This window comes from Homo sapiens, chromosome 3, assembly GCF_000001405.40.
Source record: "Homo sapiens chromosome 3, GRCh38.p14 Primary Assembly".
NCBI classification, from domain to species: domain Eukaryota; kingdom Metazoa; phylum Chordata; class Mammalia; order Primates; family Hominidae; genus Homo; species Homo sapiens.
The window spans coordinates 142,373,362-142,392,194 of record NC_000003.12 but is presented as its reverse complement, the minus strand read 5'-3'; the positions used below and the strand labels follow the sequence as shown (position 1 = coordinate 142,392,194).

Below are 18,833 nucleotides of genomic sequence, written 5' to 3'. Positions count from 1 at the left end.
TCTACTAGAGATTTTGAGGTCTCAGTGGGCTGTAAGGAGAATACCAAAACACTCTCCTACCCCTGAGGGTGCATGGTATGAAAACAAACAACTACTATTTGATAGGGAAGTGGTGGAACCTTCAGATAAGGAGGTAGAAGTTGAGGATAAAATGGAGTGAAAAGGTTTAGGAATGGAAGAAGACCTGGAAAAGGGGGCAAGGAAGTACTTTATAGGACATCATGGAGAAAGTGATGCACATAGAGGATAATTTGGAGAACAGCTCCTGACAGATCTAGTAATCAAAAAACAAATATGCAAAAATAGAATCAAAATAATATAATGCATTGCTGTAAAAGTTATAGATCAGATTATGCACCATATATTAAAAACCCTTTCATGCAGGATAGTAAGAAAATACAATAAATTTTATTTCATTCATATATATATATATATATATATATATTTTTTTTTTTTTTAGTGAGACGGGGTCTTACTATGTCACTCAGGGTGGAGTGCAGTGGCACATTCATATTATACCTCACCACAACCTGGAGCTCCTGAGTTCGAGCAATCCTCCTGCCTCCGCCTCTGCAATAGCTGGGACTATAGGTGCATACCACCATGCCAGGCTACTATTTTAATTTTTTGTAGAGATGGGGTATCACTGTGTTGCTCAGGCTAGTCTCAAACACCTAGCCTCAAGTGATACTCCTGCCTTAGCCTCTGGAGTACTTGGAATTACAAGGGTGAGCCACCAAGTCTGGCTAAGAAATTTTAAAACAGACAACAACACTGACCCCAAAGCAGTAAAAGTATATAGTAAAAGAAAAAGTAAATGGACGAAAATCTTCCAACCACTTGGGAATTTAAAAGTTTTGAGCTAACTATTTGGGGGATTTTATTTTAATAGAAGCATCGAAATACAGCCATACCTTGTTTTATTGTGCTTCTCTTTATTGTGCTTCAGAGATAGTTGCATTTTTTTTTACAAATTAGAGGCTTGCGACAACCATGTTGCAACTCTATCAGTGCCATTTTTTCCAACAGTATGTGCTCACTTCATGCCTGTGTGTCACATTTTGGTAATTCTCACAATATTTCAAACTTTATTATTGTTATTTTTATATCTGTCATGGTCATCTATGATCAGTGATTTTTAATGTTACTATTGTAATTGTTTTTGGTCACCATCAACCATGCCCATTTGAGATGGTGAATTAATCAATAAATGTTGTGTGTGTGCTGACTGCTCTACCAACCAACGGTCCCCTAGTCTCTTTCTCTTTCCCTATTCCATGAGACATAGCAATATTGAAATTAGGCCAGTTAGTAGCCCTACAATGTCCTCTTAAGTAGTCAAGTGAAAGGAAGAATCACATGTTTCTAGGTTTAAATCAAAAGCTGGAAATGATTAAGCTTAGTGAAGAAGGCATGTCAAAAGCTGATACAGGCCAAAAGCTAGGCTTCTTGCACCAAATAGTTGTGAATACAAAAGAAAAATTCTTGAAGGAAATCAAAAGTGCTACTCCAGTGAATACACCAATGATAAGCAAATTAAACAACCTTATTGCTAATATGGAGAAAGTTTTAGTGGTCTGGATAGAAGATGACACTAGTCACAGCATTCCCTTAAGCCAAAGGTTAATCCACAGTAAGGCCCTACCTTTCTTCAATTCTATAAAGGCTGAGAGAGGTGAGGAAGCTGCAGAAGAAAAGTTTGAAGTAAGCAGAGGTTGGTTCATGAAGTTTAAGGAAAGAAGCCATCTTCATAATATAAAGTGTGAGCTGAAGCAACAAATGCTAATGTAGAAGCTGTAGTGAGTCATCCAGATCTAGCTAAGATTGTTGATGAAGATGGCTACACTAAACAACAACCCTAGACAAAACAGCCTTCTATTGGAATAAGATGCCATCCTGGACTTCCATAGGTGCAGAGGAGAAGCCAATGCCTGGCTTCAAAGCCTCAAAAATCAGGTTAACTCTCTTGTTAGGGAAAAGTGCAACTGGTTACTTTAAGTTGAACCCGGTGCTCATTGACCATTCTGAAAATCCTGGGGCCTTTAAGAATTGTGCTAAATCTATGCCTGTGCTCTATAAATGGAACAGCGAAGTCTGAATGACAGCACATCTGTTAACAGTGTGGTTTACTGAATATGTTAAGTCCACTCTTGAGACCTACTGGTCATAGTAAAAGATCCTTTCCAAATATTACTGTTCATTGACAGTGCACCTGATCAACTGAGAGCTCTGATGGAGATATGCAAGGAGATAATGTTTTCACACATGCAAACACAACATCCATTCACGCATGCAAACACAACATCCATTCTGCAACCCATGGACTAAGGAGTACTTTGAACTTTCAAGTTTTAGTAGTTAAGAAATACATTTTTGGCCGGGCACAGTGGCACATGCCTGTAATCCCAGCACTTTGGGAGGCTGAGGTGGGTGGATCACCTGGGGTCAGTAGTTCGAGGCCAGCCTGGCCAACATGATGAAACACTGTCTCTACTAAAAATACAAAAATTAGCTGAGCGTGGTGGCGGACACCTGTAATCCCAGCTACTTGGGAGGCTGAGGCAGTAGAATCGCTTGAACCTGGGAGGCAGAGGTTGCAGTGAACCAAGATCACACCACTGCACTCCAGCCTGGGCAACAGAGCGAGACTCTGAGTGACTGCTCTGATGGATCTGAGCAAGGTGAATTGAAAACGTTCTGGAAAGGATTCACTATTATAGATGCCATTAAGAACATTCATGATTCATGGGATTTCAAAGTATCTATCAACATTAGCAGGAATTTGAAAGAAGTTGATTCCGACCCTCCTATATGACTTTGAGAGGTTCAAAACTTCAGTGGAGGAAGTAACTGCAGATGTGGTGGAAATAGCAAAAAAAAAGCTAGAATTAGAAGTGGAGCCTTAAGATGGAAATGAATTGCTGCTTTCTCATGATAAAACTTGAATGGATGAGGAATTGCTTCTTTGTTTTGTTTTGTTTTGAGACAGAGTCTCGCTCTGTCACCCAAGCCAGAGTGCAGTGGTGCGATCTCGGCTCACTGCAACCTCCACCTCTTGTGTTCAAGCTATTCTCGTGCCTCAGCCTCCTGAGTAGCTGGGATTCAGGCAAGCGCCACCATACGCAGCTAATTTTTTATATTTAGTAGAGACAGAGTTTTGCCATTTTGGCCAGGTTGGTCTCAAACTCGTGCTCTCAAGTGTCCACCTGCCTTGGCCTCCCAACGTGCCAAAGTGCTTAGATTATAGGCATGAGCCAATGCACCCGGCCAAGAGTAGCTTCTTATAGATGAACAATGAAAGTGGTTTCTTGAGATGGAATCTACTCATAGTGAAGATGCTGTGAACATTGTTGAAATGACAGCAAAGGATTTAGGATATTACATAAATTTAGTTGAAAAGCAGTGGCAGACTTTGAGAGCATTGACTCCAAGTTGGAAAGAACTTCTCTTGTGGGTAAAATGCTATAAAATAGCATTGCATTCTGCAGAGAAATCTTTCATGAAGAGTCAGCTGATACAGCAAACTTTATTATTGTCTTATTTTCAAAAATTGCGTCAGCCATCCCAACCTTCATCGGCCACTGCCCTGACTAATCAACAGCCATCAATATCAAGGTGAGACCCTCCACTAACAAAAAGTTAACTACTAATAGCCTACTGTTAGCATTTTTGAGCAATAAAGTACAGTTGATCTTTGAACAGTGTGGGAGGTAGGGGTGCTGACCCCCAATACAGTAAAAAAAATGCACATACAACTTTTGACTCCCCAAAACTTAACTGCTAAAAGCCTACTGTTCATCAGAAGACTTGCCGATAACATAAGTAGTTGATAACGCATATTTTGTATATGTATTATATAGTGTGTTCTTACAATAAAGTAAGATAGAAGAAAATGTTATTATAAAATCATAAGAGAAATATATTTACTATTAATTAAGTGGTAGTGGTTGATCATAACAGTTTTCATCTTCGTCTTCATGTTGAGTAGGCAGAGGAGGGGTTCATCTGCTGTCTTGGAGGTGTTAGAGGAGGAGGAAAATCTGCATGTAAGTGGACCTATGTCATTCAAACCTGTGTTTTTCAAGTGTCAGCTGTATTTGAAAATGAAAGTATTGTCTTAGCCCAGTCTGAGGCTGGGTAATTTATAAAGAAAAGAGGTATGTTTGGCTCAAAGTTCTGCAGACTGCACAAGAAGTATGGCATCAGCATATGTTTCTGGTAAGGGCCTTAGGAAGCTTCCACTCATAGCAGAAGACAAAGAGGAACAGGCGTGTACAGATCACATGGCAAGAAAAGAAGCAAGAGAGGGGTAGGGAGGGAGGTGCCAGGTTCTTTTTAACAGTCAGTTCTCATGGGAACTAGTAGAGTGATAAACCCCCGTATCCTCCTCATTGCAAGGAAGACAGCAGCAAGCCATTTATGAAGGATCCACCCCATGACCCAGACATCTCTCACCAGGCTCCATCTCCAACATTAGGGATTGGATTTCAACGTGAGACTTGGTGAAGTCAAACAAACTATATCCAAACCATAGTAGATATATACATTTTTTAAAGACATAATGCTATTATACACTTAATAGACTCAGTGTAAACATAACTTTGGTATGTACTGGGAAACAGAAAAATTCATGTGACTCACTTTATTGTGGTGGTCTGGAACTGAACCTGAAATGTCTCCCAAAGAATGGCTGTATACATATGGAGCAAAAAATACTTGCGAATTATAGGTGTATTAATCATAAGTATATTACTTGATGAATTTTCACATGTGGAACAAGAATACAAGTCAAGAAACAATAACAGGAATATTACCATAATCCAAGGAAGTCCCTTGTACACCCTTTTATCCATTACCATCCGCTGCTCCCTCCCCACCCCCAGTGACGAGGATAACCATTTTGACTTGTAACCACATACATTTGTGTTTTCTATTTTTGAACTTTATGCAGTATAAGTTCATTCACACAGAGTGTATTCTTCTTGAGCCTGATTTCTTTTGGTCAGTATTGTGATTCTAATATCCATATTGTTACATGTAATCATAGTTTGTTCATTTTCACTAATGATACTATTACATTGTATGAATACAGCACAATTTTTCCATTCTACAGTGGATGGATATTTGAGTTGTTTCTCATTTGGGGCTCTTGGTGAACGTGTATATATGCATTCCTTTTGGGTATATGTCTATGCATTCCTTTTGGGTATATATCTAAGAGTAGAATTACTGCTTCATAGCATATGCCTACATTCAGCTTGAACAGATACTACCAAAAAGGTTTGCAAACTCTTTGTATCAATTTACGCTCTACCAGCAGTTTATAAGAACTTATGTTGATTTCTGTTTTCATAAGTACTTACTATTGCTTTTTCATTTTAGCCATTTTGGTATAGTAGTAGTATCTCATTTTGCTTTAATTTGCATTTCCCTGATGACTAATAAAATTGAACATCCTTTCGTGTTTGTTGGCCATTTGAATATGCATACTCTTTTGTGAAATGCCTGTTCAAGTCTGTTGCCCTTTTTAAAATTGGGTTGATTATCTTTTTCTCATTACTTTATAGTTTTCTTACTGGCTTATTGTGTCATTCTCAATTTCAGGGGAAAACTAAGTAATTTATCTTTAAATAAAATTATCACTGTAGCTTGTTTTTAATTACTGTTCTTTATCAGGTTAAGGAAATTTCCTTCTATTCTGATTAAGAGTTTTTATCATTAATTGGTGCTGATTTGTAAAATGTTTTTTCCGCAGCTGTCAAACTGATTATATTATTTTTATCCTGTTAATCTGATGAATTGCATTGATTGAATTTCCAATATTAATCTACCCCTAAATTTCTGGAATAAATCCCATTTATTTATGATATATTATCCTTTTATACATAATTGGATTTTATCTGTTTAAGTTTGTTTTAAGATTTTTGCATCTACTTTCATGAGAAATACTGGCCCATAATTATAAAGATTTCCTGAAATGTCCTGGTCAGCTGTTGATATCAAGATTACTGGCTAAATGACTTTTAAGTGAAAGTGGTAGAAAAAAATTCTAATAAATTTTTAGAAAATGGTGTGTTTCAAAAATTTGTTGGAAAACTTTTGTTTCTGGCTAAGGTGACATGACTTTTTTCAGACCAACTTTGCCATAGACAACATTATTAAAGTATAAGCTGATGTGAAAAAATATATAACGTGTTATATAATTATATACTATATTATATGCTATTTATATAGTCTATATTATATACTATTTTTATGACATATTTGTATAAACAAAACTTTTAAAGTGTGATTGGTAAAGTGAGCTCGGTAGATGGACTGAGTAGTAATACGGGCATACTAAAAATTGAATCAGTGAGCTAAATGATCAACCTTAGGAATTCCTTCAGTAAGCAGTACAAAAGCACAAAGAGATGAAAATAATATCAGAATTTTAATATCTATCTATTAGGAGTTCTAGAAAGAGAAAATGGAAAGGAGATAAGAAAGTATTCCTTAAATGAAGAATGATTATATATTTAGATGAAAGGTCAGCAAACTTCTTCTGTAAAGGGCAAATAGTAAATATTTTAGGCTTTGTAGACTTTACAATGTCTGTCACAACTACTCAACTTTACCATGTAGCGCAAAAGCAGCCATAGACAGGAAGTAAATGGATAACTATGTTCCAGTAAACTTTTATCTAAAAAACTAGGAGGCTGTCTGAATTACTTTAGATTGGAAAAGCCATCACATACTCCTGGCAACCCCCAATCTATTTTCTGTCTTCATGGATTTACCTATTTTAGATGTTTCATATAAATGGAATCATATGATATATGGCCTTTTGTATCAGGCTTCTTTCATTTAGCATGCTTTCGAAGTTCATACACATTGTAGCATGTGTCAGTGCTTATTCCTCTTTATGGCTGAATAATATTCCATTGTATGGATATGCCACTGTTTGTTTATCCATTTGTTCATTTATGAACATTTGGATTGTTTCTACCTTTTGGCTATTTGAATAGTGGTGCTATGATCATTTGTGTATCAATATTTGTTTGAGTACCTGTTTCCAATCCGGGGGGGTTGGAATGCTTAGAATTGTTGGGTCATGTGTTAATTATATGTTGCTTTTTGAGGAACTGCCAAACCGTTTTCCACAACAGCTGCACCATTTTACAGTCCCACCAGTAATGTACAGATGTTCCAGTTTTTCCATGTCATCACCAAAACTTATTTTTTTCCCTGTTTTTTAATTATAACGATCCTAGTGGATGTGAGAACAGGAGTTTTGTATAGCTCTATGAGTTCTTATTTAATCACAGAGACAGTTGGAGAAGTACCCACAGAGTAAAATAAATAATGCAAAAAGTCTCAAGTTAGGTACCTGGAACTGCTAGCGTATTTATTTAAAGTTTATTTACACACTTGATTATGAGTTGATAGTTTACGATAGTTGACGATTATCGTCCTAGAATATCTGCATACTCATTCATATGTATATTTCATGTTTATTCTTTATTTTAGCTACCTGAGAAGAAAAGGAATAATAATAAATGAAACATCTGCAGTTGTGTATGCTCAGTTACTCACAGGTCGTAAATATCAAATAAATCAAAATGGTGAAGTTCGTCTAGAGAAACAGTGGTCAAAACAAGTTGTTCCTTTTGTTTATCAAACTATTGTCAAGGTAAGTCTATATCAAGTTTCAATTCTGTCTTAATATACACTATTAATACACTATTCACTGTATAATGAAAAGATATGTTAATATAAATAGACTAATTCAGCAATGTATAATAGAGATTATCATTTAATATAATTTACAAAATAACTTATTATTTGTAAGAAGTATTACATGCTCAGACACTCAGTATATATAGTTAGGAAACTTGTCTTTTATGCTTTCGTATGCTTTTTTTTTTTTCTTTTTTTTTTTTTGAGACAGAGTCTCGCTCTGTTGCCCGGGCTGGAGTGCAGTGGCGCCATCTCGGCTCACTGCAGGCTCCGCCTTCTGGGTTCACGCCATTCTCCTGCCACAGCTTCCCGAGTAGCTGGGACTACAGGTGCCCGCCAGCACACCTGGCTAATTTTTTGGTATTTTTTAGTGGAGATGGGGTTTCACCATGTTAGCCAGGATGGTCTCAATCTCCTGACCTCGTGATCCACCCACCTCGGCCTCCCAAAGTGCTGAGATTACAGGCGTGAGCCACTGCGCCCAGCCTTTTATGGTTTTTTTTAAGGACTTAGACTCTAAAAGAAAAAATCCCACCATTAACTTACACCCTTGAATTTTATATTTTTATTCTTCAAAAATGTTTGCCTTAAATCTTATAAATGTAAAAGGCATTTTATTTTTGCATTTATAATCTTAGATACGATAAGAGGACAAAAATTTTTTTAAGTATGTAGCGATCCTGTAATTTGGGGTGTTATAGTACAGTGTAGTGATTAAGTGACTTAAGAACACTGGCTGCCTGAGTTGGCTTCTTAGCTGCATGACCTTGGACAAGATTCATCCCCTTTCTGTGCCCCAGTTTTGTCATCTGTAAAGTGAGGCTAATAATGGTCTCTGCCACAGAGGTTTGTCATGAGGATTAAATGAACTCAATAAATGTGTGAAGCACATAGAAGGGTGCCTGCCATATAACCAGTCAACAAATTTTAGCTCTTGGCATTATGTAGAAAAATCTTCACATTGACATTTGCAAACAGCATAGTCATAATCCCATAGGAAAAAAACTTGATACGCAATCTATAGAAATTATGACTAAGATTATTTACTTTTATTTTATGTAGGACATCCGAGCTTTCGACTCCCGTTTCTCCAATATCAAAACATTGGATGATTTGTTTCCTCTGAGAAGTATGGTCTTTATGCTGGGAACTCCCTATTATGGCTGCACTGGAGAAGTTAGTTTCCATTATTGTTACTGATACATTTTTCTCTAGTTTAAAGCAGTTACTTAACTTCTCTTCATTTAGGTTTAAATTAAAATATAATAATGAAGGGAAAAAATAAAGAATTTATCCATGTAACTTATGAACACAGTGTTTGACTTATATATCTAAATACTATATATCTAAGACTAAAGACCATATACTTTTAGTCTTGAGCAGATTAGGATCAAGAGGTGGTGTGTTCAAATCCTGATCTCTTTTTTTTTAGCAGTTTTGTTTATTGTAGTGGTATGGATGAAACGATTTTGTAACTATTTTAGACATGTAATAGGCTTGAGTGAATTTGTAAATGCGTTCATATTTGAGGAACTTTGGTTCTTAAATGGAAAAAGGTACATGCAAATATGGAAGGAGAGAAAGCAAGAAAGAACCTATAGGGACAGATTTGGAAGTATTAGTGTGAACTCTTGGTTTCTAAAATATGTATATATGTTTGTATATCTGTGTATATAGGCACATATATATGTGTATATATATATACACGTATGCATATGTTTCTAGCTCTATTTGCTGAAAGGAATAAGAAGCAAAGACACCTTAGCACAATGAGCACATGTACCACCCAGATCTTGACGTCTAATTTCATAACTCACTAAAAGGAACAGGGCTTCTCAGAGAAATTGCTGATTCTGGATCTGGGGCAGGGAAGATACAAGATGAACCTGGAACATCTTGTTATGTCAGAAAGTAAGGAGGTGCTCAGAAGAATGGTGGGAGTATGTCATGTAAACACAGGAACCAGGTTGAGGGTACTACCACTGCCCAAATCTTGGATACTTTGAGTGACAAAATAATTAAATTCAGTAGTTAATTATAAACCACTGGGGGGAAAACAGGAATTCATGATTCCGTAGTGACAGTAAAAAGATAAATAGGGAAAGGAAGGTCTCTTGTCTGTAGTAGCATGTAAGAAGTAAATTTGGAGAGAGTGCTGCAGTTGAAAAACCATTGTGCAACCATTATGATAAAGATTGAATCATGTAAGAATCATCTTTGGGAACTAAATCTAGGGGGCATTTTTTTTTTAAATCAGGAGCAGGATATTTGCATGGTCTTAGAATGTATCTCCTACAGATTATTTATTAGCTGCAAGGGAAACGAAAACTGTAATTATGCAGGAAAAAAATTGAGCAACATATTAATGGTATAATCAAAGTTAGCATCGCATTAAAGGACAGATGAACATTGTGTACCTCCAGATGTAATACCCTTTGGAGGACACATCACCTATGCAGTATTCTGGCTGTGAATGTACTACCATAACCTAATTATGTGGAAGCATCAAACAAACCCAAAATAAGGAACTGTTTTTTTGTTTTGTTTTGTTTTTAAAAGGCAGGTTGGAGAGGGAGGGACAAATTATATATTCTTCAAAATGTCAATGTTGGCTGGGTATGGTGGCTCACTCCTGTAATCCCAGCACTTTGGGAGGCCAAGATAGGCAATCACTTGAGGCCAGGAGTTCGAGACCAGGCTGGCCAACACAGCGAAACCTCATCTCTGCTAAAATTATAAAAATTAGCTGGGTATGGTGGCATATGCATGTAATCTCAGCTACTTGGGAGGCTGAGAATAAGAATTGCTTGAACCTGGGAGACAGAGGTTGTGGTGAACCAAGATCATACCACTGCACTCCAGCCTTGATGACACAGTGAGACTCTATCTTAAAAAAAAAAAAAAAAAAAAAAGCAATAACTTAAAAGGTCAGTGTTATAAAAACAAAAAAAGGCAGTGGATACATTTTAGATTAAAGGATGCTAAAGAGATATGACAATTAAATGCAATATCTGATCCTAATCTGGATCTTGTAATAAAGGAAGAAAATAGTTCTATAAAGGACATTATTTGGTCAACTGACAAAATTGGAATATAGATGGTAGCTTAGATGAAAGTATTATGTCAATGTAAATTTATATACTTAATAACTGTACTGTGATTATATAGTAAAATATCTATCTTAGGAAATACACACTGAAATATTGAGGTCAGGGACATGATGTATGTAATATATACTCAAGGGGTTCAGAAAGATAACTATGTATAAGTAAATACACACATAGTACACAAAAGTTAAAGGCATTTGTTTTACAATGCTAACAACAGGTGAATCTGGATAAATTTTTTTTCTTTTCTTTCTTTCTTTTTTTTTTTGGAGACAGAGTCTCGCTCTATTACCCAGGATAGAATGCAGTGGCATGATCTGGGCTCACTGCAACCTCCACTTTTTTTTTTTTTTGCAACTTTTTGGTACTTTGAAATTATTTGCAAATAAAAAGTTAATTTAAAAAAGAATGATTGGGCCAAGCACAGTGGCACACACCTGTAATCCCAGCACATTGAGAGGCCAAGGCGGGCGTGGGGAAATTGGTTGAGCACAGGAGTTTGAGACCAGCCTGGGCAACATGGCAAAATCCCATCTCTGCAAATAATTGAGCTTAGTGGTGCATACCTGTAGCTCCAGCTGCTTGAGAGGCTGAGGTGGGAAGATTGTTTGAGCCCAGGAAGGCAAGTGCAGCAAGTCGGCAAGCCATGATAGTGCCACTACACTCCAGCCTAGATGACAGAGCAAGACCCTGTTGCCAAAAAAAAAAATGATTGTCCAGGTGCAGTGGCTTACACCTATTATCTTACCACTTTGGGGAGACCAAGGCAGGAAGATTACTTGAGCCCAAGAGTTCAAGGTTGCAGTGAGCTGTGATCCCACCACTTTAGCCTGAATGACAGAGCGAGATCCTGTCTACGGCCATACCACCCTGAACGCACCTGATCTCGTCTGACAGAATGAGATCCTGTCAAAAAGAAAACAAGAAAAAACAAATTAACAACCATTAAAGCAATGATACAGTGACTCAAATTTATAGTATTATAGATCCTGTCTCAAAAGAAGTTAACCATTAAAGCAACGATACAGTGACTCAAATTTACAGTATTTTCATACCCACTTAACAAATTTCAAGAGAATTTCCACTATCCAACTTGTCATACTGTATTTCAAAAATAATAGTGTTCAAATAAGTTAAAAAATAAAATGTACTGAAAGAGACTATACTGTGATTTTTTTTTCTTCTAAGGTTCAGGATTCAGGTGATGTGATTACAGAAGGTAGGATTCGTGTGATTTTCAGCATTCCATGTGAACCCAATCTTGATGCTTTAATACAGAACCAGCATGTGAGTACAGTAGTTTGTATTGTTTCATTTAGAATTGATAAACTTTTAAAATATTAGGATATTTTTGCCACCTCCTTTGAATTTATTTCAGATATTTTATTTAATAATGATTAGATTCTCTCTCCCAGTTGCATCTGGTATTTAAAAATAAGTGTGGAATCTGTGCTCAAAACTTCATGTAGATCTTTGTGGGGGGAAATCACTGAAATCCCGTTATTAATCCATAGTGATTGTTATGGATTATTGTGTTCAAGCTTATAAGAGGCACATTGATTAGCACACCCTCTGGGAACAGATTTAGGTGTTTTAAACCTTTCATAATAATTCAGAGCCTGCATTTTTAGTTGCAAGTGACAAATGGCCTTTCTGCAAAGGCTGTATGTATCTCTTCAGCTAAGAATGAACAGTCTCAATCCTAAAGAATATTGGAAAAATGCATTTAAGTTAACAGCATCTTTTTCAGGACCTTCTCACCAAAAAATTCCACTGGCGTTCTTTTCTCTTGTTAAAATAGAGGGAAGGTTCTGATATCTGTCATTTGTTCTTATTGATTGGTTGGATAATTAGCTAAAATTAATTCGCAATCAACCAGCTTCATTTTCTGACTCTCATGCCTCGTTCTTTCTGATTTATATCTCCATTTTGATGGAGCACTTACTCCAGTAGCTTCTGAGAAAACTTGCATGTCTGGAGATGTCTTTATTCTTCTCCTACACTTGATTGATAGTTTGCCTGGGTGTAGAATCCTAGATTAGAGATTATTTTCCCTCAGAATTTTGTTTTGGTTTTGGTTTTGGTTTTTTCTTTTTGTGAGACAGAGTTTCGCTCTGTCATCCAGGCTGGAGTGCAGTGGCACGATCTTGGCTCAGTGCAACCTCTGCCTCCCTGGTTCAAGTGATTCTCCTGCCTCAGCCTCCCAAGTAGCTGGGATTACAGGCACCCACCACCATGCCCGGCTAAATTTTGTATTTTTTTTTTTTTTTAGTAGAGATGGGGTTTCACCATGTTGGTCTCAAACCCCTGACCTCAAGTGATCTGCCTGCCTCGGCCTCCCAAAGTGCTGGGATTACAGGTGTGAGCCACAACACCTGGCCTTCCCTCAGAATTTTGAAACCACTGTTCCATTCTCTTCTCGTTTCCATATTGTTGTTGATAAATCCTGTGCCATTCTGATTCTGAATTTCTGTATGTGATCTATTTTCATTTTCTGAAATCTTTTTAGCACCTTTCCCTTACTGGTGCTTTTTAATAATGTGAGGATGTGTGCCTTGGTATGGATCTTTTTTCTTCCCTTCTCCTGTTCAGCTCTTTCAGGCTTGCAACTGATGCCCTTCCATTCTGAGAAACTTTCTTGTATTATTTCTTTGATAATTTTCTCCTCACTATTTTTTTCCTGCTTTCTATTTCTGGGAATCCTTTTAGTTCAATCTTAGACCTTCTGGATTGATCTTCTTAGTTTTATCTCTCCTCATCCATTTCCTATATTGTTATACTTCTGTTCTACTTTGGGAAATTCATTCAACTTTATTGTTTATCATTTAAAATTTCTATTTGATTTAATCATTTTAATTTCTAAAAGTGTGTCCTTATTCTCTGGCTATATATAGCATCTTGTTCTTACAGTGAATGGAATATCTTCATTTATTTCTCTGAAGATAATTCTAGGATTTATCCTTCTATTTTTTGTGTTTTCTGTTAAACCTTTCATAACAATTCAGCACCTGCATTTTTAGTTGGAAGTGACAAATGGCCTTTCTGCAAAAGCTGTATGTATCCACTCAGCTAAGAATGAACAGTCTCAACCCTCAAGAATATTGGAAAATTGCATTTAAGTTAACAGCATCTTTTTTAGGACTTTCTCACCAAAAATTTCCAGTGGCTTTCCTTTCTCCTGTTAAAACAGAGGGAAGGTTCTGATATCTGTCATTTGTTCTTATTGATTGGTTGGATAATTAACTTAGCTAAAATTAATTCACAATCAACCAGCTATTGCTACTTAGCCTTTTTTTTTCCACTAATAGTAAAATATAAAGCTTTATATCCTGTGAAATGAATTTAAGGCATTATGTATCAGCACACCCATGAGGAAACTTTATGTATGGAAGGCAGTCATCCCTAAAATCTTACCATCTGGTGCCATTTGAAGAACAAATTTAGACAGCAGTCATGAAACCAGGAGAGTGGCTCTTTAGATAAAGTAGCTGGAGCTTTGTACTGGGAATCAGTGAAGGTTAAATAACTTGTGTTCCTTCATCCCTGGCTTTTTCTAGATCTAGAAGAGCCTGTCCTGTTGTATGATAGTGTACAGTGTTGTTTCTTTCTCTTTACATACGTTTAACTTTCACTCAAGCTGACTTCTTTTTTTACCACAACATTCTCAGCTACTTATTTTATATTTTCTAGGATGTTTGTGATGGTTTTAATGAATCTTAAATTATAGCAAAACCCATTATTTCTCAAAAGGAGTACTGTTGGCAATTTGGGCAGGACAGTTATGTATTAAATAAAACTGTTTTGTATATGGCAGGACAGTTGGCATCTTTGGCTCAAGGGCATTAAGTGCTAGTAGCCCATGCCAGTTATTGTAATTAAATGTGCCTCTACACGTTTCCAAATGCTTGTTAGAAAAGTGTTGCTACTTATATTTGAGACCTACTACCTTAATTCTTTGAACTGTTCTGGAAAGCATACTTGATTTGTATTACATTATTGCTAAATCTGATTATGTTCTTAAGTATGTTTTATTGTTATGTACATGATGTTAAGAGTATATGGTAGTTTATCCTAGTTAGTATTGGATTCATGAATCATTTGCTTCCTGGTTAAATATTATATGATCTGTTACTTCTTTTTTTTTTTTTAATGTGACAATATGTTTTCTTCCCTTAAGTATATAAATTAAGGTTACATTTCATTGACTGTATTAATTATGGGTCTATACATGCTTGTATGTTTTCATATGATAGTAAATATTAGGGGAAAAGAATATTACTTATATCCATATATGAAGGACACTTTTAGTTTTTCTCAGTAGCAACGATTTTGATGATGTACCTATTTTTTAATTCAATGTAATAATTACTGAGGCCTCATTTTGTCCCAAGTACTTTGCTAGGCCCTGCTTGGAATATGAAAATTAGTAGAAACGAAAACAAAAACAAACAAAAAACTTGCCTGTGGAGTTTGCCATTTAGTACTTACAGTAGAGTTTATTTCTTAAGACAGTTTCACAAACTGTATATTTCCTCCCCCCTTTTATCCATCCTTGGGAATTCTGTCCTTTAAGGAGAAAGAGAGAGGAGCAGAAAAATTCTGCCTACAGATCCTTTCAAAAAAAAGGGGAAATGGATCTAAGTGAAAATCCTTATATTGCCACAATCCAATGGTTAGTGATGTCTTGATTATCTCCAGATTTTAAAGGTAAAGAAATAACATTTAATGTAAACTTGTGTTTCCATAATTGACCTTTTTGTTTTTATATTTAAAGAAATATTCTATAAAGTACAACCCAGGATATGTGTTGGCCAGTCGCCTTGGAGTGAGTGGATACCTTGTTTCAAGGTTTACAGGAAGTATTTTTATTGGAAGAGGATCTAGGAGAAAGTAAGTTTATGTTAGAGAAATTTACTTAAAGTGGCAGAAAAATTAAATGATAAAGATTAAATGCTTAATATTTCAGTATTTATTTTCTTATTAATTGCTCTGGATTGTCTTAAAATTGTGCATAAATTTCTCTGATGGTAATCTTTCATCTGAATGGCACATGTTTTAGGTGGTTGGAAAAGACAGTTCTTATTTTTTAGCAGCTAATAAATTGAACCTTGAAAAAAGGTATCAGAGGGTGTGTGTGAACCTCAGTAGTATATTTCCTTGCATCTTGTTATTTCATTTTCCTCTATAATTACATAATTTATTTACATGCTTTGTTAACTTGGGTTTTGAAGCTTTTCTTCTAGTTTTTCAATTACTGCTACTTTGGAAATAACCATAATAACTAAAATATAGAAGAATAATCAAAACTGAGCTTTTCTAAGAATTGAAAGCAAAACTTTTTGTTCCTTGAACGACATTTTAAAACTCGTGTGTGTGTGTGTGTGTGTGTGTGTGCACGTGTGCGCATGTGTGGTTTAAATTCAGCCCTCATGGAGACCATAAAGCAAATGTGGGTTTAAATCTCAAATTCAACAAGAAAAATGAGGAGGTACCTGGATATACTAAGAAAGTTGGAAGTGAATGGATGTATTCATCTGCAGCAGAACAACTTCTGGCAGAGTACTTAGAGAGGTAAGTACATAATAAGATACTAGTAGTCATTCCAAAATCTTAGGAAAATACTGTTTATTTTGCCTTCCTGATATTAGTTTTAGAGGACAAATATTTCCATTAGTAAAATCTGGCATATGTTACATGTAAACTTAATTTTGCATCATGGAATATCATAGGCACTAGCTAAAATTGAGTAGAAAAATACCATATTATTAAAAAGAAAATATATAATGAAAATTGCCCTCTTTAGTTAAAATTTTTCTTAACTTACTATCATACATTGTTCACTACCTTGCATACCTATGTCAGCACTGAGAGAACTGATATGGATAAACAAAGCTCTTAGCATAGTGGATTTTTTCTGATTCTTAGAACTATGTAGCTATACAGGTTACTATCTTAGAATTATTGAATTTTATTGCTGAAATTATCTAGGAAATCAGCAAGTCAACTCATACCAAAAGTGAGAAAGCCAAGTACCAAGATTCACTGAGTTACTAGTGACAAAGATTTACAGGAAGTATATTTACATCTGATTCATAATTTAATGTTCTTTCCATTATTCCACTGGTTTCTAACCTTATATTTGAAGATCTCTTTATTAGTTTCCTAGGCTAGCTCCTGTAACAAAGTACCACGAACTGGGTGGCTTAAACAACAGAAATTTATTGTCTCAACCAGTTCTGGTGACCAGAAGTCCAAAATCGAGATATTGCAGGACAATGATGGTCCCTCTGAAGGCACTAGGGAAGCATCTCTGTTCTGTCTTCTCATAGCCTTATATGTTCTTTGGCTTGTAAATGCATCCCTGCAATCCTCCGTGTTTATGTGATGTTCTCGCTGGGTGTCTCACATCATCTTTCATCTCTGTATGTCTGTCTCTGTGTCCTAATTTCCCCTTTTTGTAAGAACACCAGTCAGATCAGAGTCCATGCTAATGACCACATTTTGTTTGACTGCCTCTACTAAAAACCCTATTTCCAAATAAAGTCACATTCGATAACTTCTGAGTGGGGCAGGACACAATTCAATCCCATATTACCATCTGGAAATTTAGATTGTTTCTTCTGTTCACTTTCTTATTTCTTTAAAAGGTCATGTTTAAACTACTTTTTCTTAATTTTTCAACTTGACATATTTATGGATTTTCTGCTGTGAGTGGCTTTCCTATCCTGAGCTTCAGCTTTCTTTGACTTCCACCACTCTGGATTCCCTCAGACACATATTTCCCCTCTCACTAAACTTTTATGAAGATTTTTTATTAAATCTGTATTAAAGGTTTACTTCCTTATGATGAAGTAAATGTTCACAGTTGGACCTTATGGAGTATTAAGATTACATTTTATTTCTTGTACACATTTTTGTTTGCTGTTTTTTTCATTTGCTTCTTATCTGTGTTCACATAACAAATTCTGTGTCATAGCTGTTTACACTATGGTCAGACAGATCAGGTGATTGCTCAGTTCCATTTTTCTCTTGGAGACTTCTTTTAAAACCTGTGTCTTCCTGCTTCAGTTTGAACTGATTGCTCTCTAGGGCTGTTGTGCAGCTCTCATTATTCAGTTTCCTGGTACTGTCATCCTAGGAATTCAGTTTTCTTCACCAGTCTGCCATATAGGATTCCTTCCTTTTCTGACTTTCATGCCTCACTCTTTCTGATTTATATCTCCATTTTGATGGAGCACTTACTCCAGTAGCTTCCTGAGAAAACTTGCATGTCTGGAGATGTCTTTATTCTTCTCCTGCACTTGATCGATAGTTTGCCTGGGTGTAGAATCCTAGATTGGAGATTATTTTCCCTCAGAATTTTGTTTTTATTTTTGTTTTGCTTTGTTTGAGTCAGTCTCGCTCTGTCACCCAGGCTGGAGTGCAGTGGCACGATCTCAGCTCACTGCAACCTCTGCCTCCCCAGTTCAAGTGATTCTCCTACCTCAGCCTCCCGAGTAGCTGGGATTACAGGCACCTGCCACCATGCCCGGCTAAATTTTGTATTTTTTTTAGTAGAGATGGGGTTTCACCACGTTGGTCTCAAACCCCTGACCTCAAGTGATCTGCCTGCCTCGGCCTCCCAAAGTGCTGGGATTACAGGTATGAGCCACAACACCTGGCCTTCCCTCAGAATTTTGAAACCACTGTTCCATTCTCCTTTCGTTTCCATATTGCTGTTGATAAAGCCTGTGCCATTCTGATTCTGAATTTCTGTATGTGATCTATTTTCATTTTCTGAAATCTTTTTAGCACCTTTCCTTTACTGGTGCTTTTTAATAATGTAAGGATGTGTGCCTTGGTATGGATCTTTTTTCTTCCCTTCTCCTGTTCAGCTCTTTCAGGCTTGCAACTGATGCCCTTCCATTCTGAGAAACTTTCTTGTATTATTTCTTTGATAATTTTCTCCTCACTATTTTTTTCCTGCTTTCTATTTCTGGGAATCCTTTTAGTTCAATCTTAAACCTT

The 18,833-nt window shown here is 36.3% G+C and overlaps 1 protein-coding gene across 12 annotated transcripts in view; it reads left to right on the top strand.

The window, feature by feature from the left end:
• The window catches only part of XRN1 (5'-3' exoribonuclease 1), a 141,428-nt gene that overhangs the window by 55,843 nt on the left and 66,752 nt on the right, over positions 1-18,833 (top strand). For 11 of the 12 annotated variants that reach the window (XM_047448357.1, XM_047448356.1, XM_017006640.2 and 8 more), the window contains 5 exons: positions 7,510-7,672; positions 8,782-8,895; positions 12,015-12,113; positions 15,601-15,716; positions 16,251-16,397. In XM_047448357.1, the coding sequence (XP_047304313.1) occupies positions 7,510-7,672; positions 8,782-8,895; positions 12,015-12,113; positions 15,601-15,716; positions 16,251-16,397 (639 nt within the window). Of the gene's footprint in view, positions 1-7,509; positions 7,673-8,781; positions 8,896-12,014; positions 12,114-15,399; positions 15,499-15,600; positions 15,717-16,250; positions 16,398-18,833 lie in introns of those variants that run through there. The other variant, XM_006713673.3, reaches the window with a different exon arrangement.